The following is a 22,169-nucleotide window of genomic DNA, read 5'->3' as shown; positions in this document are numbered from 1 at the left end:
CTTTCTACTCCTGCCTTCCATGAAGATCATAAGATGGGGCATTCCACAAAGAAGGTATTCAAATATTGGATGGCCTAAATTAACGGCTTTAACTATAATACTCACTTGAAACCAACTGGAAATACTATAGCATTGAGTCAATTAGTAAACATTTATCATTGAATGGTATTACATGAAACAAATTAGAATTATTTAAAAAATGAGTAACGACTCAAAAGATTTATAAGAGCCAGACAGGTAAGATAGAGTAATGAGATAGAACAGGTTAAAAATTAAAATTGAGAGTGCTGATGACACTGGCAAACAGGAGACCATTAAGACCAGATTAAAGACAACTAGTGGCAATTGTTATTTTTTTAAAAACTTATATAAATGTAAAGGCTACAAGTGCAATTTTTGCTACATGGATGTATTTTGCAGAGGTGAATCCTGGGCTTTTAGTGGCGTCCATCACCCAAATAATGTACATTGTATCCATTAAGTAATTTCTCATCATCCACCCCACTTCCACCCTCCCACCCTTCTGAGTCTCCAATATATATCAGTTCATACTCGATGTCCACATGTACACATTATGTAGCTCCCACTTATGAGTGAAAACATGCAGTATTTGTCTATCTCTTTCTGAGTTGTTTCACTTAAAGGCCTCCAGTTTCATCTATGTTGCTGCAAGGCATGATTTCATCCTTTTTTATGGTTGAATAGTATTCCACTGTGTATATATACCACATTTTCTTTATCCAATCATCTGTCAAAGGACAATTAGATTGATTCTATATCTTTGCCATTGTGAATAGAGTTGTGATAAATATACAGGTACAGGTATCTTTTTTATACACTGGTTTCTTTTCTTTTAAGTATACACCCTGTAGTGGGATTGCTGGATCAAATAGTAGCTCTATTTTTATTTATTTGAGTAATCGCCATAAGTTTTCCATAGAGGTTGTACTAATTTAAACCCCCACCAACAATGTGAAGGCATTCTTTTTTCTCCACATCCTCACCAATATCTGTTATTTTTCATCTTTTTAATAATAGCCATTCTGACTGGTGTAAGATGATATCTCATTGTGGTTTTAATTTGCATTTCTCTGACAATTAGTGATAATAAGCATTTTTTTCATAGGCTTATTGGCCATTTGTATTTCTTCTTTTGAAAAAAATGTTTATTCATCTATCCATGTTCTTTGCCCACTTTTTAATGAGGTTGTTTGTTGTTGTTGAGTTTTTTGAGTTCCTTGTATCTGAGTATCAGTCCCTTGTCAGATGCAAAGTTTGTAAGTATTCTATCCCATTCTGTAGGTTGCCTATTCATTCTGTTGATTATTTGTTTTGCTTTACAGAAGCTTTTTGGCTTAATTAAGTCCTATTTGCCTATTTTTTAATTTTACTTATGCTTTTGAGGTCTTAGTCATAAATTCCTTGCTTAGAACAATGTCTGGAAGAGTTTTCCCTAGGTTTTCTTCTAATATTGTTGTAATTTAAGGTGTGACATTTAAGTCTTTAATCAATCTTGAGTCGATTTTTGTGTATGGTGAGAGATAGAGGTCCAGTTTTTAATTCCTCTGCATGTGGCAATTCAGTTTTCCCAGCACCACTTATTGAAAAGGGTGACCTTTCCCCAGTGTATAAATTATTTTGCACAATATTGCTATGTAATTTCTTCTGAGGGAATCAATTCTTTGAAACACAGAATTTGAAGTATAAGTCTGTAATGTGTAAGAACTAAATGACATAATTTGTGGAGGCTTATGGATTTGAATTTTTATTAATATGTCTACACTAATACACTTAAATAGAAGAGTTGTAAATATCAGCCAACGTGACTTATTGTGACTGTTTGCATTCATTCATTTATGCCCCTGAACTAGGAAGACCTACACTGAATGGACCCCTATGGACTTGGATTCTTTCAGGAAGAAATAAAAATATAACTAGAATATAGAGTTATTGAAAATTTATAAGTTAGCTATGAGTTTGCATATGGCATTCTCTAGCCATAAAGTTGAAACCAAAATTATAAAAATTAAAAGATCAATATAATCCAGATGTTTCCATAATCTAATATTTGATATTCTCAAGTGCGGCTCTTCTGTGTTTCCTTGTCTATGAAGCCAACGGATAAGAAGCTAATAAATGCTTGTTATATCCTATGGTCTCTATCTGATGATAATATACAGATAATTCAACTATGAACCTGAAAGCAGGCTAATAAACAAATGCTTCAATTCCATAATATAAATTTACTAAGTATTTTGAGAAAAATCACAGCCATCTGTAATCTGACATAAACAATAAAATCAAAGGTAGAAGAAACATATAAAACTAAAAAATCAGCTGAAAAGTTAGAGGGCTCATACCTATCACAGTCACCATGAATAAGGTTAGGTGAAGTTTACGTAGATTTAAAATGTTCCAGAATTCATTTAAAATAAATGTGAATTTTGGCAAAGCCTAACTCCACATGCAGTTTTTAAAAAATAAATTTGTCTTTTCCAGATTTTTTTCTGAAATCCATCTAAATTTATAAAGAGTTATCTCTATTCTGCAGTAAGTTTCTATTTGGAGTTTTGGTCTTTTGTTTTGTTTTGAAAATTACTGGAGAAAAACGTGATATAAAATATAGAAAACATTCTAGGTTGGAATGATAGCAATAAAACAGAAAAAAATGAAAAATCATTACACCATGTTAGTTAATGGAATCTTCAAGATAAACCTTGTTCCATTGATAATAAAGAGTATATCATCTATTTTTATATTTTCGAAACTAACATTTAAAGCTTATATTTCCCTGAGTAGCATGGGGGATATGAGAACTTTTTCTTCATTGCTTTCAAAACCAAACAGAAATCTTGTCTTGGGAACTTGTAGGTTTAACTATCTGGCATTAGGTATAGTCTACCTAATGAACATCTCTCACTGTTATAACCATTCCCAAGCCATGTGATACTAGGAAGTGTACACTGAGACCTGAGACCTGAATGAGATGTCACGTTTAGGATCTTAGAGGGCCCATGGCATGAGGCTTGAATGTCTCACCCTATGCCTCTATGATATCACATGAAGGGTGCTTTGACAGCTCCATAGAAAAGTAATATGTACCAAGTTCTCGGCTGATTATTGATCGACAAAGTTTCTTTTTGTTGTGTATCTCTCATCTGTCTGTTTTCTTCCTATTGATCCCATGAATTTTATAATTATTGCCTTTTATTACACTTGAGATGTTTTGATTCTTATAATTAAGACAGTTTTAAAGTATTCACATTTAAAAGGAGATTACAGGTTTATAAATAAAGCTTCAGCTTTATTTATAATGATATAAAATTAGAAACAAAAGAAGTCTGTCAATAGGGGACATTAACTAGGTAAATTAGAGAACATTAATACAGTAATATACTAAGTAGTTACCTCAGTGATATAACTTTAGATGTGTGGACTTAAAAGGTGTACATATTACCTTAAAAAAAACTTGCAAATCAATGTGTTTGGCATGCCCCTTCCCTTTTTTAAAAGATATATACATTTGTGTGTGTATGTTTGCATAAGCACAGAGAAAAAATATTAGAATTAAAGAGGACAAAGAGACTTTTACTTCAGAGCCCACATAAATTTTAAAGGGCTATGAGTGATTTATACTTTCTATTACATTTGTTTTTCTCTATTTTTCAAGTCAAACACCCATTAATTAAATGGTTGTATGCAAATAACTTTGCCAACCACTGTAAAATGCAACATCTATTGGGGAGTTTTAAATCTCTGCCTCAGGATCCTTTGACCCAAGTCAAAAGAAAATATGTTTCCTGTTCAGTTTTCATTTCAATATATGAGGCCTTGTGATTAAAAATAACAAACCTCCTATAAAAACATTGAATTACCCAGCCATCCCACATCACTAGATGATGTTCTATTCATTCTTGTTCAGATCTATGGTTTTTTAAAAAACTTGAATGCATTTTTTCTCTTCAATTTCTGTGGCTTTTTAAAAACTATTTTCTACACAAAAGTAAGAGCAGTAAATTGGCGTGTTCTTCTACCTTGAGGATACAACACTGTTATGAGAGGGTATGGAAGAAATGACCTCAAATTTTCTTGTGGTGCTTACGTATTAGTAAGAGAATGTGCTCTTTACATTTTCCTTTGCTCGTAATGTTAACAGGTTAATGTTATATAACATGTATTGGTTATGTACTTTCAAGGATAATACTTTTGAGTACTGCATTGCTCCAGGAAAGAAAATGTTTCAGAAAATTGGCTCTTCTTTCATTCATTCTCAAATCTCCATTGAGGACCTATTGTGTTCTTAGCATCCACACTATGTATTGCAGACCACCTCTTTTGCATAGTAGTGGCACAAAATCGTCTGTCATACTAAGAATTTTAACAATTGGGGTGAAAATGTGGTAACTTTAGTTAATATTAAATATCCATTCTGTTACTAGCCGGACCTGTTGTGACCCTATTTTTGGGCTCAGAGTAAGTGTGTGGCTGTGGAGCAATACTTCCTATAGGTAATGTTCAATGGCTTATAATGGAGATAATAATATGATGTGATGTTTAATAAGCAGACTCAACGAATAGAGTGCTGTTGGCCCTCCTTATCTGTGGGTTTCACCTCTGTGAATTTAACCAAACTTGGATGGGAAATATTGGGTAAAAAATGGATGGTTATGCCTGTATTAACATGTACAGAATTTTTTCTCATCATTATTCCCTAAACATGACAATATAGCAACTATTTACACAGCATTTACATTGTGTTAAGTACTATAAGAAACCTAGAGAGGATTTAAAGTATAAGGGAGGATGTGTGTAGGTTATATGCAAATACTACATCATTTTATATAAGGGACTTGAGCATCCATGAATGTTGGTATCTGCAGGGCTCCTGGAACCAATCCCTTGTGGATACTGATGGATGCCTGTAGGTGTTGATGAGGATGTGGAGAAATTGGAAATCTCACACACTGCCAGTGAGAATGTAAAATGGTGCAGCCACTGTGGTATATATAATTTTCATTTTATATAAGAGATTCGAGCATCTGTGGATTTCAGTATCTCAGGGAGTCCTGGAACCAATCCCCTGAAGATAATGAAAATGACTATATAGTTGTTATGTTAGTTGTAATTTAGTTTAGCTTTAATCACTTAGACCTGGCTACAATTACCACTCCTAACACAATGAGAATAATTTATTCTCATAAGAGTGATTTGTGCAAGGCAAAATGTCTAAGGGCTTTCTCCTCTCTACTGAAATACACGCCTCAAACCAATTTCAGAAAATTTTATAAAAATATTTGTTAGGGCAATACCAATTGCCCTAACCAATACCAATTGCCCAATACCAATTGCTTTGAGAACCACTTTCTTCTTTTCAATTAGAAATCATAGTAACTCCTGATGACAAGACTAACTGCAAATGATATATACCACAGAGGACATTGCAATTTATAATAGTGTTTCTTTTCTAATAAACGGCCTCATTGAAGAAACTGAAGTAAATCATTGAGAGTAAAACTGATTGTCTCTTTAAAAGGTGATCAATTAGCTCTCCAACAAATCATTCCTTGACTATAATTTATAATGCTATTTAAGTTATTGGTGATGTTTATCTTCACTCTTTTCTGGCCCTTTTACCATTTATTTCTGGTTCTCTCACTTTGGGCACAGGGTAGATCCATACTTCCCCACCTTCTTTGAAGTTAGGCATGGCCAAGAGAGTTGCTTTGGCCAATGAAATCTAAGCAGAAGTTGTTAAGAACCCAGTTGAAATTTGCCACACCTTCCTCCCCACTGTTGCAGTATAGTTACATCAGGAAGAAGCCTTTGTCATCCTGGGTCACTGAGTAACCAAGATGAGTGGAATCCCCCATAGACCTACATTGGATGGGTAATGTGCATGAGAACCAAACTTTTTGTTGTGTTAATCCGCTAAAATTTGTTGTTTTTTTTTTCTTAAGACAGCAAAATCTAATCCATTCTGACTAATACAACACCTAGATAGAGCATCCTCCTTTCAATTCTAGCACCTGTTTCTCCCTTTCTTTTATTCTAATTCCTTTTCATTAATAACATCTGTTAGGTCACATCCATGAAGACATAATATCCTTTGTGAATTTATGAATTTAAAGAATCATCAGGATACAGCCAACTCCAGTATTATCTTCTAGGAGAATGAGAATGATAGAGTGCAACACATATTTAAAAACAGTTCACTAGATGAAGTATTGTACCCTGAAGAAAATAGATACAATATACTTTCATTTCGTTCTCTTCTAAAATACTTAACAAACAATGTCTTATCATCCTATCTCATTCAATTTATGTGCATGAATACATTCCTGGCAAAATTAAACTCCTGTAATTCTTAAAAGTCTACCTCTGGGCAAAATATATAACAAACCAGAAGAATAAATCCTAGATTTTAAAAATGTCATTTATATCTTCAGTATTTGCAAAGCAATTACTAACTTCCCCTAGACTTAAGACAGCTAGAGTCTAATGTTGATTAAACTTGCCAAAATATTTTGCTGTAAGCTTAGAGAAAGTAATAAAACATTGAAGGAGAATACCCAACATAGCTGCAGTCTGTTCTGTTAGTTAACATTTTAAAGACCTAAGAAAAAGCTTAGATGGAGCCAAAAACCTGTATAATATCCTATGTTACCTCACCATTTGTCTTTCACCAAATGACTTCCCAAATGCTGTGAAGTAAAATTAAGTTTTGAAATTTTCTGAATCCTTTCAGTGTTTCATGTAAGAAAATGTTTATTATTCATAAGCCATCTTTAAGAATTTAATTAATTCCAATAAAAATGTATGCTTTGATCCTAATGATTGCATCTTAGTCACAGATAAGTAAGTAAGTCACAGAATCCTCTACAGACTAGACTACATGATTTGAAAATACAATACACACTATATAATTTGAAAATATAAGGAACAATATTTTCCTAGAAATAAATTTCCTGAAATTGTACTCATGTTTCCGCAAGTCTTCTTTTACCTTCTTTTGATATTTTGAACCCTAAACACCAATAGATTCATTTCTAAGACTAGAAGGCACATTTGAATCCAATGATTGGATGATTGGGAGCAGTGTTGGCAGGAATTAAAATGTTTTTCTTTAACTGTATTAAAACGTGTTTCTCTGCAACATGGACTTCCCTACTTGCAATTTTGAGTTTCTTACTGTTCAAGTAAGTAAATACTGTAGTATGTTCTTCTTGCAGCCTGATTTATAAAATCAAATAGAATAATGCAATAGAAAAAATCCAAAGCAGATTAATTAATTAAGATTATGAATACCAGGCAAAGTTTTTCTCAACTTGTATGCTTAATATAAGTCCTTGTATATTAAGAGGGTAAAAGTCTATTTATTTGACTTGGTAAAAAATGAAGAGGGGAGGCATAGATGAGTCTTGGAGAACATGGAAACCATTAGGTTTCTGCTTTCTGCTTTTTAGCTACATAGAAATTAAGGTCACAGGAAGGTCACCTGAGGAATTGGCAAAGGCCCATAAGAAAGATGGAACTGATATGTTCAAGTTGTTATTAACCGTTAATCGATCTAATTACTCAAGAGTCTATGTAAGGCATGTTTTTCTAACTACATGATAAAAACATAATTGTGATGGCAACTGCCAAGACCAGCTCAGTCGTGGAGACCCTAACCCAGCAGCGCTAGAGGAATTAAAGACACACACACAAAAGTATAGGGTGTGGAGTGGGAAATCAGGGGTCTCACAGACTTCAGAGCTGAGAGCCTCGAACAGAGATTTACCCACATATTTACTGACAGCAAGCCAGTGATAAGCATTGTTTCTGTAGATTATAGATTAACTAAAAGTATTTCTTATGGGAAACAAAGGGATGGGCTGAAATAAAGGCATGGGTCTGGCTAGTTACCTGTAGCAGGAACGTCCTTAAGGCACAGATCACTCAAGTTGTTGTTTGTGGTTTAAGAACACCTTAAGCGGTTTTTCACCCTGGGTGGGCGAGGTGTTCCTTGCCCTCATTCCAGTAAACTCACAACCTTCAGCATGGGCATCATGGCCATCATGAACATGTCACTGCTGCAGAGATTTTGTTTATGGCCAGTTTGGGGGCCAATTTATGGCCAGGTTTGGGGGCCTGTACCCTGCATGTCCCCCTTCTTTGTTTTGCAAAGCGATAAAAGCAAAGGCAGTTTTGTCACGTGAGCTACTTCTCACAGGAGTCAGGATCCGCATCTACAGACTATACAAAGACAAACAACACAGATTGAAAGCACAATCATCATTGAAATCACAGAGCCTCCAAGTGTTTTTATCCATTTTAATGGGTTACTAGCTGCTAATCTGTCTGCAGCTCCTTCAGGCACTCCAGTTCCTGGCATGAAGGTCAGGTGTGCCTGGGATGCTTTAAATATTTGTTCTTTTAATTTTGCAATGTCCAAATACAAGTTTGTAAAGTGTCCTTCTAGATGCCTTTTTATTCTTTCTTAAATTTTGCTCTCATTAAGAGCTATTAATAGCTTCCATATGTTTAGCTCCTAGAGCAGGCCATATCATTTGAGGTTCAGATGCCACTATACCACCATGGTTCCAGATAATAGGAACTCTTGCCATACTTCTTACAATTTCTACCATCTGACCGTTTTGTTCAGACCAGCTGAACATAGTGTGGCCATGGCATGCAGACTGAGAGGTGCAATTCAAGCCAAACATCCCCTTAGGGGACCAATTAACAGTGATTCCACAGGAATCGTATGCAGCACCTCTGCCTGTTCTACAATGCAAGCTTCCCAAACAAGTACACTCATTTTTTCTGGCCAGGTTCAATTTTGTTTACAAATAGGTTTTTGATGGCAGTATGCCTCAATTATAGGAGCAGATTCATTATGGTAAATACTGAGATCAGAAAGCATGTGTAACTGTGTCATAGAGTGATTACATCCAGGCATTATTGCCAGCCAAGATTGATAAATATGCCCAGTAAGTATAATTGTTCTCTGTGTCAGCCCTTGTTGAAGGAATACACATGGAATGGTGATCATCACCATCATAGCTATCATTAAATTATTCATTGTGATATAATGAATAATTATATCACATTCCAGTAAACTCATTCCAGTAAACTCATTCCAGGACAACCAGTTGTCCTGCTTTCCTCAGGTTTTCTTCCACCATCTGTGACAGCTTCTTGATCTGTCCCCAGGTGGGTGGCTGTTTTTGACAAGTGTTGCTTGTGACAGTTGGGGTCCTCCTCAGCATCAGTCTTGACATGGCTGCAACCGGGTTGTCCTCGGGATCCTCCTGGAATCTCTTCCTCAGCATCTGGCTCATGATAAGGTTTCAGATGTTTTGATAGTATCCAAATCGGCTGTTGATTCAGTCCTGCAGAAACACAAGCATAACCTCTAACCCAAGTTATTATTTTACCTATTTCCCAACTTTTTGTTATCGGATCTCTCTATCAAACAAGTTGTTCTGCTTCTGTCTTTGCAGCTGGTTTCTGTAGATGCTGTTCAGCTGCTGATAACATCTGGCCTTTAGGTAGGCTAAAAAAATTTAAAGTTAATAATGCTAGATTCAGTTGCATATGGGGTGTCCCATAGTCCCTATTTCTCCCCCTTTTTTGTTTTTGCAACTGCTGTTTCAGGGAGAGTTTCATTCTTTCCACTATGGCTTGTCCTTGAGAATTATATGGGATACCAGTAATGTGTTAAATATTCCATATGGAGAAAAATGTAGCTAGAGCTTGGCTAGTATAGCCTGGGGCATTGTCTGTTTTAATAGAAGCTGGAATGCCCATCACAACAAAACACTGCAAAAGTTGACGTTTAACATAGCAGAAGACTCTCCTGATTGGCATGTAGCCCAGACAAATTGAGAAAAGTTGTCCACAGTACACTTACATAATTAGTCTCCCAAATGAGGGAATATGTTTGACATACATTTGCCAAAGAGAATTAGGTTCCAATCCTCGAGGATTAACTCCTCCTGTAAAAGACGAGGAATGCACCATTTGGCAAGTTGGGCATTGCTGGATAATAGCTTTAGCTTCTTTCCAGGTAATGCTGTATCTGCGTTTGAGACCAGAGGCATTAATATGGGTTAAATTGTGAAAGTGTCTGTCATTAGATATTGCATTAGCAACTAGGCAAATAGCCATTTGATTCCCTGCAGTCAAAGGTCCTGGAAGATGTGTATGAGCCCTAATGTGAGTGATGAACTGCACATTTTCATTAATTGTTTGGAATGAACCACATATGAAGAATCAGAAATCACATTAATAGGCATATTAAAAGCAGTCAATACCTCAATTACAGCTACAAGCTCTGCTTTTTGAGCTGAAGTATAGGGCGCCTAGAAAACTTTACTTTTTGAAGCAGAATAAGAAGCTTTACCATTACTAGACCCATCTGTAAAAACATTCTCAGCACCTTCAATTGGTTTAAATTTAGTTATTCTAGGGAGGATCCAATTAGTTAATTTCAAAAATTGAAACAGTTTCATTTTAGGAAAATGATTATTGAGAATACCCACAAAGTCAGCCAAATGGGTTTGCTAAGTAAGACTATTTATAAAAGCTTGCTGTATTTGTGCTTTTGTGGGAGGGACAATAATTTTTCCAGGATCATATCCATCTAATTTAACAATCTGAGTTCTCCCATTACCTATCATAGTAGTAACTTGATCCAAATAAGGAGTTAGAATTTGTGAATTAGTATGTGGAAGAAAAAGCTGCTCTACAAGATCTTGCTCTTGAACAATAATACCAGTAGGTGAATGCTGAGTTGGAAAAATTAGCAAATCTAGAGTCTTCTCTGGATCTATTCTATTTATTTGAGCTTTATGGACTTGCATTTCTATTAGCTGCAGCTTTGTCTTAGCTTCTTTTGTTAATTGCCCAGGGCTAGTGAGACTAGCATCTCCTCTAAGAATAGAAAGTAGATCACTCATGGCATAGGTAGAAATGCCTAGAGCAGGCCATATCCAATTAATATCTGCTAGTAATTTTTGAAAGTCATTTAATGTTTTCAATTGATCCTTATGTATGGTTACTTTCTGTGGCACAATGGTAATGTCATTTACTAAGGTCCCCGAGTAGGAGTAAAGAGTAGTAGTCTGAATTTTGTCAGAAGCTATAATTAAACCAGCATGAGAAATCGAATTTTGCAAGTGATCATAACATTGGAGTAATATTTCTCAAGTAGGGGCAGCACAAATATATCGTCCATATAATGAATAATGTAACACCGAAAATTTTTTTATGAGTAGGTTCAATTGCTTGCCCTACATATGTCTGGCAAATTGTTGGACAGTTTAACATGCCCTGTGGCAACACTTTCCAGTGAAAGCACTTACCAGGCTGCAGGTTGTTTACTGCAGGAATTGTAAATGGAAACCGTTCACAGTCTTGCTCAGCTAAGGGGATAGTAAAGAAACAGTCTTTTAAATCTATGACTATTAAAGTCCAATTTTTTAGAATCATAGCAGGAGAAGGTAATCCTGGCTGTAATACTCCCATAGGTTGTATAACAGAATTAATGGCTCTTAAATCAACATTCTCCATTTACCTGATTTTTTCTTAATTACAAAAACTGGAGAATTCCAAGTGGGAAATGTTGGAGCTATGTGTCCGTTTTCTAATTGTTCAGTAACTAATTCCTCTAAAGCCTCCAGTTTCTCTTTACTCAGCAGCCATTGTTCTATCCCAATTGGCTTATCTGTTAACCATTTTAAAGGTATAGGTTCTGGAGGCTTAACAATGGCCGCCATCAAAAATAATATCCTAAACCTTGGTGGGAACTTTGTCTTTCTGCTTGAAGCTGTTCCTTCAAACCTTGCAAATGTTTTCCTAGTCTCATACCAGGGACATACCCATTTCATGCATCATATGTTGACTTTGAGGGCTATATAACTGCTCTGGAATTAGAACTTGTGCTCCCCATTGTTGTAATAAATCTCTTCCTCATAAATTTATAGGTACAGAAGTTATAATTGGTTGAATAGTCCCAGATTGCCCATCAGGCCCTTCACAATGCAAAATATAACTACTTTGATATACTTCAGGGGCTTTACCAACTCCAACTATATTAAATTGAGTGGGTTGCATTGGCCACATGGACGGCCAGTGCTGTAGAGAAATGATTGAATGTCCACTCCAGTATCTACGAAACCTTTAAATTTCTTTCCCTGAATAGTTATTTCCCAGGTAGGGGTTTATCAGTAATTTGATTCACCCAATAAGCTACTTTGCCTTGTTTATTTGTGCTTCCAAATCCTCCTGTTCATTTAATTTCACTTTTCCCCATTTCCACATACGGCACAATCAGGAGCTGTGCTATACACTCTCCTGGCTCTGCTTTCCAGGGAACAGTAGGTATAACAATTTGAATTTCCTCATTGTAATCTGAATCGATGACTCCTGTTTCTACTTGTAACCCTTTTAAATTTAAACTAGACCTGCCTAGAAGTAGTCCTATCGTCCTCATTGGCAAGGGTCCACAGACTCCTGTTGGACTTTTTTGTGGGGGTTCCCCAGGCAGAAGGCTCACAGCTTTTGTGCAGCATAAATCTACTGCAGCACTACCAGCTGTGGCAGGGGACAGACATTGTACAGGGGTGAGGGAATGGCCTGATCTGGAAATGCCCCAGTTTGGAATGGGTCCCAGGACGGGCCCCTCATGGCGTTTCCCGAAATGAGGTTCCCATCTTTATCAGACTTAGAGTGACACTGATTAGCCCAGTGTTTTCCTTTTTTACATTTTGGACATATTTCAGGCTTAGCAGTTTTCTTTTTTCCCCTACCTGGTGGCCTGACTCGCTGATTTTTTCTACATTCTTTTTTAGTATGACCATGCTTCCCATAGTTAAAACAAGCTCCAGGAAACCGAGTATTTCCTTTACTCACTTTCAGTCCTGCTATAGCCTGTGCCAACAAAGTAGCTTTATGCAGATTGCCTCTGATACTGTCACAGGCCTTGATATAATCAACTAAATGTGCTTTCCTTCTAATAGGTCGCAGAGCAGCCTGGCAATTGGGATTAGCATTGTTGAAAGCTAATAATGGCAACACGATATCCTGAGCAGCTGAATCTGCAATCACCTTATTAAGAGACTCCTGTAACCGAGCTATAAAATCTGCGTACGGTTCTTTTGGTCACTGCCTTACAGCACTAAAGGAAGGGTATTGCTGTCCTCCTGAAGTGATTTTTTCCCGTGCTCTAATGCACACTCCTCTAAGCTGTTCTATGGCTTCATCCTGCATGACCACTTGTGCATCTAAACCAGCCCAGCTGCCAGCCCCCAAAAGTTGGTCTGCAGTTATATTAATTTGAGGTTGGGCCTGGGTATTGCAAGCAGCGTGAATGGAAGCTTCATCTGCCCACCAAGTTTTAAATTATAATAGCTGAGCAGGAGTTAGACAAGCTCGAGTAAGAGCATCTCAGTCAGTAGGAATCATCCGACTGGAAACAGCAACATTCTTTAACTCCCATTACAAAAGGAGAACCTGGTCCATATTGATTAATAGCCTATTTAAACTCTTTAAGTAATTTAAAAGGAAAAGGCTCAAATGTAGCTATAATATTTCCCTGTTGATCTGGGGGGTGTATTCTAACAGGGAACTGCCAAGTCTCTAAATCACCCTCTCATCTAGCTTGCTGAATTCCTGCCTGATAGAACTGAGAGTGGCCGCTCGAGGCGCTGCTCAAACAGTCACTGGGGCAACTACTTTTTGCCCAGTGTCTCCAGAAAAGAAAGATCTGGAGGCTCAGGCCACTCTTTTTCTTCAAAATAAGGAGGGGGTGCAGAAGAGTAGGGATGAACCTCTTCCTCCTTTGCTGCTTTAGTTTTAGCTGGCAAACAAAACTGCTCTGTCACCTCTTCTGTTACTTCATTATACTTTCCTTCCTCCTCATCATCAGTGTGAAAAGTCTCCAAGGTGGAATGAACCAGAGCCCACACTTGTCTCATTGTTACTCTGATGCTTCCAAGCTCCCCTTCTTACTCACCACAGGGACTGCTTAAGAGTACTCGGGTGTCCTCCAGCTTAGTTCCACGTTCTCCAACCATCGCTCCAGAAGCCCTTCAACCTGGGTTCGAGCCTCCAGCTCAGTCGTGGAGACCCTAACCCAGCAGCGCTAGAGGAATTAAAGACACACACACAGAAATATAGGGTGTGGAGTGGGAAATCAGGGGTCTCACAGCTTTCAGAGCCAAGAGCCTCGAACAGAGATTCACCCACATATTTATTCACAGCAAGCCAGTGATAACCATTGTTTCTATAGATTATAGAGTAAAAGTATTTCTTATGGGAAACAAAGGGATGGGGTGAAATAAAGGGATGGGTCTGGCTAGTTACCTGCAGCAGGAACATGTCCTTAAGGCACAGATCGCTCATGCTATTGTTTGTGGTTTAAGAATGCCTTAAGCAGTTTTTCTGCCCTGGATGGGCCAGGTGTTCCTTGCCCTCATTCTGGTAAACCCACAACCTTCAGCATGGGCATCATGGCCAATGAACATGTTACAGTGCTGCAGAGATTTTGTTTATGGCCAGTTTGGGGGCCAGTTTATGGCCAGATTTGGGGCCTGTTCCCAACAGGCAACTTCAACAAATTATGTCCCAACGTAACTCTTAAATTTTCATTGAAAAGGTAATCAAAAGCAAAATGATTTACATAAGTGTACTCATCATTTATCCTCAATAGATTTCTCTCAAGCAATACAGAGTCATTTTACAATGGAATTTTGCACATTTTGAAACATGATTATGGAAACACCAAAAGTAACATTAAGACTCCATGAAATTGTATTTACTAGACTCCATCCCCAATTTACAGACATTCCCACTGAAACAATACCCAGTTTCTTCCAGAAGACCGAGTCTGTTGCAAGGCCCCTATTTTGCAGCCATCCTTGCTCCCTTAAAATACAGTGTTCAGAGGTGAGCGTTCCCTACTGTGAACTTCAGCCACAGACTTTGGAACTCATGCTTCCTCAACTCAATATTCCCATCCCTAGCAGTTCCACCAGGTTATATCCCAAAACTGAAACATTTTCATAAGACAATTATTTCATTCTCTTCTATGGATTCTTTGCTGACCAAAGCTTTCTTGGCACTAGTTCACTTTTTCTCAACCAGAGTATGATATAATTAAACACAGAGTAACCTATACTACACTGTCTTTGAGTTTCCATGAACACTAAGTTGAACTGAATTTCAAGAAACTTTGATTAATTAAAATCAAATAAAGAAAGTGAAATGATCATTTGATAAAAGATATGACAAAATGAGAACCTGATACTTTAAAATGGATCTAGTTTGTTTTACTCAATTAAGATAGGTAAATAAAGCAACAGGGCAATAAATCAATAATGAAACATCCTAAAACAAAATAAGTTGCATTCCTTATTGTTGACTATTATGCAAACTATCCTTCTCTCTCTGCTTCCTTTCCTGACATCTGCGTTGATATATCCTTTACTAGAATGAGTTGAATAGATAATGTAGAATCTGACAAGAAAAAAACATTATTTCTTTCTGAGCTTGATCTTTATACTTTTTTATAAAACTGGGATTTAGACTGATCCTCTCTAGTCTTCATTCAAAATTCTTCAGCAATTTATGTGGAGGTTATTTTCATATAGCACTTCAATAACAGTTTTTGAAAGATAAAAATAATTATTGGTACAGGACACTAAGAAGAAAAAAAAACCTCATTAATTGTATAAATTGCTTGATTTACTGTGGAAATTTACAAAGAAACCAGAGTATGGACAATGTTCCTTGAATTAGCTTATGTGAAAATAGTTCCCTGAGGTTCACTTGCTGTCTGTTAGGAAACAGTGACAACATTAGACTGAAATCATTTTTACAGGCAGAAGTAAATCACACACCCTTCTCTATAAACATTATGTTCCTAACAGGCATCAATGTTTGCTTATTCTTCAGAGTATGAAAAAATATGTTATTATAGACTTGCCTTCCACATACTTTAAACAAATTTAATATTTTTATTAGGGTATAATTTATGCACCATAAACTTCACCAATTGTAAGTATAACAGTTGGTGATTTTTATGAAATTTATACAAATGTGCAACCACTACCACAATATAATTTTAGAACATTTGTAGCATCCCCAAGGGTTCCCTTATGCCAATTGGAAGTCAATCCTGCTCCCTCTGCCGTCCTCAGGTAACTGCTGATGTGCTGTCTCTATAAATTTACCTTTCCTAAAAATTTTATATAAACAAATACACACAATATGTTTCCTTTTAGATCTGGCTTATTTCACTCAGCATAGTGTTCTTGAGGTTCATCCATGTTGTTGTATGAATCAGTAGTTCATTTCTCTTCGTTGCTAAATAATATTGCATTTTATGGATACATAATATTTTGTGTATTTATTCACCAGTTAATAGACATCAGAATTGGTTCCAGATTAGTGCCATTATCAATTATGTTGCTAGGAACATCCACATACATGTCTTTGTGTGGTCTTATGTTTTCAATTCTCTTGGGTAGGCAGGCTGCATCATATGATTAAGTACATGCTTAATTTTTAAGAAACTGTCAAAAGTATTTTCCAAAGTGATTAGAGTGTTTTCCATTCCCAACAGAGGGAATGTATGAGGGTTCAAATTTCTCCATATTCTTACCAACATTTGATGTTTTCAATATTTTGGATTATAATCATTCTAGTGGATGTGTGAAGTGGTATCTTGTGATTTTAATTTGCATTTTTAAGTGACTAATAATATTAAACATCTTCTCAGATCCTTGGTGGCCTTTTGATATCTTTTTAGTAAAATGTCTATGAAAATATTTTGATCATTTTTAAATTATTTTCTTGTTATTGAATTATAAGAGTTCTTTTATATTCTGAATATAAGTCCTCAAATATATGATTTATAAATATGATATCCAAGTGTATGTTTTGCCTTTTAATTTTTAATTATATTTTTGGAAGAGCAAAAGTTTTAATTTAGATAAAGTCTAATTGAGCAATCGTTTTCTTTTTTTTTTTTTTTTTTTTTTTGAGACGGAGTCTCGCTCTGTCGCCCAGGCTGGAGTGCAGTGGCGGGATCTCGGCTCACTGCAAGCTCCGCCTCCCGGGTTAACGCCATTCTCCTGCCTCAGCCTCCCAAGTAGCTGGGACTACAGGCGCCCGCCACTACGCCCGGCTAATTTTTTGTATTTTTAGTAGAGACGGGGTTTCACCGTTTTAGCCGGGATGGTCTCGATCTCCTGACCTCGTGATCCGCCCGCCTCGGCCTCCCAAAGTGCTGGGACTACAGGCGTGAGCCACCGCGCCCGGCCGCAATCGTTTTCTTTTAAGTAATTTGTTTTGGGTGTTATAACTAAAATATCTTAACCCAACCTATGGTTACAATACTTTCTTTTATGTTTTCTTCTAGGAAGTTTTACAGTTTCAGCCCTTACATTTAGGTTTGTAGTCCATTTTGAATTAATATCTGTGTACAGTGTAGGGTAAGGGTCTAGGTAACTTTTCTTTTATACATGGATATTCAATAGCCCCAGCAGTCTTTATTTAAAAGACTGCTCTATTGTTATGGAATTGTCTATGTACTCTTGTCAAAAAAAAATCAGTAAATGTAAGGGGCTTATTTCTACATTTTCTATTTCCACCTACTTTTAATAAGAAAAGTTCCAAAGCATTTGGTACACATAGAAAGGGACACATAAACATGGTGAATTGGTCATTGGTGCTAAATTATAGATAGTTTTCAAATTACAACGTTACCTCTGCTCATATAAATTTCCTTTTCTCTTAAGATGCCTTTGGGTTTTTCTTCTACTTTGCTACCAACTTTGCTTTTTGTTTTTTAACTACCTACTTTATTTAATCTCAATTCTTCATTGCTGAGAAACATCGCAATAGGTTAAGAGTGAGCTAGTAAATCAGTTTTCAGAGAAAGGAAGGGCATGAGTCAGCAAAGCCAAGAGCCTTTAGAAATCTAGATTCCAAAATAGCCTGGAACCTCACAGTACAGACCATTGCCTCGGAGTCCTGCCTTATTGATAGAAACAGGGGGCAGAGAAATTCTAGGCAGAAGAGGGCAGGTTCCCGGTGAAACTCCACCCTCAGGCCAAAAAGCCTGAAACTGCAGCCCGAAGTGAGAACTTATATCCCTGCTTACCTGCTTGAATGTTGCCTTTTCATAAAGCACCCATGGCCCTGCCCTACCCCATCCTGTATATATAGAAACCCCAGACTCAGCCAGTAGACAGAACTAGGGCTGGACATCAGAGAGAGGTGGCTTGACATTAGAAGGACAGCTTGAGGGCATAGTTTCAGAGTAGAATCCAACCAGAGATGACCGTACTTCAGGGGAAGATTACCTACCTGCCCCATCACCTTTTCAGCTCTCCTTCAGCTCCTCAGTGCTGAGAGCCACTTTCATTGGCAATAAAATCTCCTGCATTTACCATCCTTCAATTCATTCATGCAACCTCGTTTTTCCTGGATGCTTGATAAGAGCTTGGTTGCCAAGAGTGCAGATACAAAAGGCTGTCACACTGGCCCTTTGTCCTTACTGGCAGAGGGCAGCTGCCCACACAAAAGGCAAAGGGCTCACTGAGCTGGTCACACTTATGCTATCCTCAGACAGCAGAGCTAAAAGAGCACTGTAACACACCCTCTGGGGCTTTGGGAATCCCAGGCACCCCTGCCAGGACACTGCCACAGGGCCTGCATGGAGTTCTCCTGCCGGTGCTAAAGCATCTGGCCAGTTCCTGCACCTGCTCACCTGCATTCTCTCTCCCACGAGGGGTAGAATGCAGCGGGTCCAAGTCAGTGGAGTTTGATCCCGCTCCGCCAAAGCAGCCAGCTGGTTCCAGCGCTCCTTCACCCCAGTTCCCATACTTGTTTGCTTGAGCACTCTCTCCCACAAGGAGTTGAGACTGCGGGCTGAGTAAACAAGGCACCCCTGTCATCCCATGAAGGGGTCAGGGAAATATCCTGCTTCACTATTAGCAAATTTTCACTGACTAACATCGCTTTTACATGATCCGTTTGTGTGTTCTTAAATGACTAATAATGCCAACATGGGACCTAAGGCTTTTTGCTCAACAGGAAAAGACACTGTCACATCTGGAAATAAGATTTTGACTCAATTACTTTGGCTTTCAATTTAATCCCCACATTCTTTGTTATTTTCTTATAAGATTGTTCCAAATATGTAAAATCTTCATTGTATTTCACCTATAGCAATCCCAAAACGTAGTATCCCAGGAGGCTATTTTTGTTCAAATTTTTAAAATAACTTTTCTCAATAATTTTAGCACCTATAAATCTTTATTATTTCTCAGTTATAAGGTCTAGTTTGTGTAAAAGAAAATAGAATCTTGAGACCCCAAACTCACTATGCTAAAAGGAAAATTAAGCTTGGGAACTGAGTCATGCAATGCTGCCTCCCTTTTGTTCCCTAACAGAGAGATGTAATTTGACAACCCTGCGGCATAGCCCCTAAATTTTTCAGGAAACATATTTCACCCCCCATAAACTAGTGAGTTCCATTGAATCTCACCCTGACAATGTCAATTATCAGCTTATCTTCCCAGGTACAGGTTAAAGTCAAGACCAGAAATCATCCCTCCACCTACCCTAAGACGAATACATACTAGATTTTTTTCCTCTACTCCCTCTTTTCACATGTAAAATGTAGATTTACTGAGGCTCATCAGAACCTCACAACAATGCAACCACTTTCCTCACTACCTACCCTCCATCCCTTTTTTCCCTCCTGCTTGCTCTTTCCCTTTTAAATAACAAAGTTCCCAAAAGCCCCTTTGAAAAATGCACAGGTCACAGATGATCCTGTGACTTGTGTTTTTCTTCTCTCCCCTGGCTAAATAAACCTCTGCTAATTGAGACCTGCCTCAGTCACTTTCTTGTTATCATTGGTTTTTAGTTTTCCCTTCTGTCAATTTAGAATTTTTACATAAAAATACTTACTTCAAAATACTTTATTTATTTAGAAACTATTTTTATTTAAAAACTGTCTCGCTCTGTGACCCAGGCTGGAGTGCAGTGGCTTGATAATAGCCCACTGCAGCCTCAAACTCCTGGGCTCAAGCAATCTTCCTGCCTCAGCCTCACAACTAGCTAGGACTAGAAGCGTTGGCTACCGCACCCTGCTAATGTTATCATTTGTATTTTTATATTTATGTAATTATTTTTAAGTATTCTGAAATATACCATAGGAATTTATTTACCCCTATGATTTTGTATTTTTTATTTGGTCTAAGCTGAGCATTTAACACCATATAACAGTATAGGATTCATTTATATTAAAGTGGTGTCAGGAAATTGGCAACGTCTGTTCAGGTTGTGCATGCTCATGGTAAAGCCACAGTTAGAGCAAATGAAGCTAAAGAGAGGGAACGAAGGCGAAATTGCAGCAGCTTAACTCACTTAACCAAATCAGCAGACTTTTCTAACTGATCAAATGCCAACAGTACTTACAGCATTCTCCAGTTGCAAAAAAAAAAATAGAGACAGAAAGTAAAAGAAAGAGAGAAATGTTAGCAAATTTCTGATAGCCTTTTTGATTTTTAGTTCATAAGCCAAATGGAACAATTGAATCAGGGGAGGATATTCAGAAGTCAATAGGTCAGAGACAAATACTAAATGCAAAGGAGTGATTGCTCATAGCTAGGGTGCCTGAAAAATAGGCTCTGTGAACCCTTGCTTGAAAGTATGCGAAACTACCATGCCCTGCCCTTGGTGCTGGAGGTAAGATAAAGCAGCACCTAAACAGCATCTTTCAAAGGTCTTCATTTGACAGCATAGCTCTCCCTGAGCATTCTATCCTATGGCACTAATGGCCCTGGAGACTCTGCTAATATTTCTTTCCCCTTCAAAATTCACAGCCCAATATCATGTCTGGTTTATATTTCAATCTGAGCAATGAGTAGGGAGCAACCCACAGCCACATTGAGAGCCAGCCTTGAAAATCAGAGGGACCTCTTGATTTTGGACACGACTTTTCAGGATCCTTTTGAGAAAGTGCTGGGCACTGCAAGCAACATGTGAGACACCACGACGTCTGTTTTATCCATCGTGTGCCCTGTGCCTGGCATGGAGCCTGTCCCACAGTAAGCAGGCAAGAAATGATTTTAAGTGAAAGATTGATTGGGCTGACTGGACTCTTTCTCCATTCAAAATAACCTTTCATATTTATGCAACACATAGTTTACCAACTTCACAGAAATGAAAAACTTTGTGTGACGTGTTGGGGCTAACAAGATGAAGATGGACTCCTGCCATCATAAGGTTCCTGATCTAGGCACAGGTAAGAGCAATGTCCCATTCAAATTACATTACAATTCTGAAAATGAGTTTAAGGTTTCCCCAAAACAGTCTTATAGGCTGGAAAAACACCTTTGAGGCAGAAACCAATCCCAAATATAGCCATCTGGACATACAAGATAATTGGGTCTCTCCTCCCTATTGGATGTTACTGGCTGCCCAGGCAGAAACATGTTTTGATACAGATGCTGTCTCACAGACATCCTGAGATTTAACCTAGATAGCTGGAAACCAGACAAACATTCTCAATTTTACTATGATTACTAAAGTTTTTTTCTTTGGCAAATCTTAGAATAATGTCACAATTGAGCAAAAGCAGTCCGGTAGAATGCTGGTTTATGTTTGTAACACTTCAGCCCTAATACGCAGAACAAAGTCTATATTCCACAAGGAAAGACTGACTGCTCTATTAAACTGCATTCATATGTAATATAGACTAAGTAGAAACAGAACCATTTAATGAGATTTCTATATTCTCGATCTTCTCGGGACTATAGATAATCCTCTTCAAGTTAGTTGTTAAAATCTACTTTCAATATTTTTTTAACAAGAAAGACCATAAAGACAACTGGAATCTTGCCTAGATTCCACAGCTGATAAAGGTAGACTTGGACATTATTTCAAGAGATATTAGAAAATATTTAGAAATGTCAAGACTAAAAAGATGACTCCATAATTAATAATAATCAACTATTTTATTATAATCTATTATAGTTTAACGGAAAAAAATTAATAACCATTAACAAGGTTCTGTTAAACATCACACCATTTTTCCTAACATATTAGTTCAAGTATCATTTGTAGTTAGACAGAATCGCTATAATAAAATAGACAAAAACTAATAT

The 22,169-nt window shown here is 37.3% G+C and overlaps 1 annotated feature.

Annotated features, from left to right (window-relative positions):
* Positions 18,718-19,012: a silencer, noted in NCBI's record as "tiled region #891; K562 Repressive non-DNase unmatched - State 24:Quies". NCBI's record gives its function as "represses a minimal TATA promoter and a strong SV40 promoter by Sharpr-MPRA in K562 cells {active_cell/tissue: K562}" and the evidence as "EXISTENCE:reporter gene assay evidence [ECO:0000049][PMID:27701403]".

The sequence above is a fragment of the Homo sapiens genome, chromosome 8, assembly GCF_000001405.40.
Source record: "Homo sapiens chromosome 8, GRCh38.p14 Primary Assembly".
Taxonomy (NCBI): Eukaryota; Metazoa; Chordata; class Mammalia; order Primates; family Hominidae; genus Homo; species Homo sapiens.
Note: the sequence above shows the minus strand (reverse complement) of the source record. Positions and strands in the feature narration are given on the sequence as shown.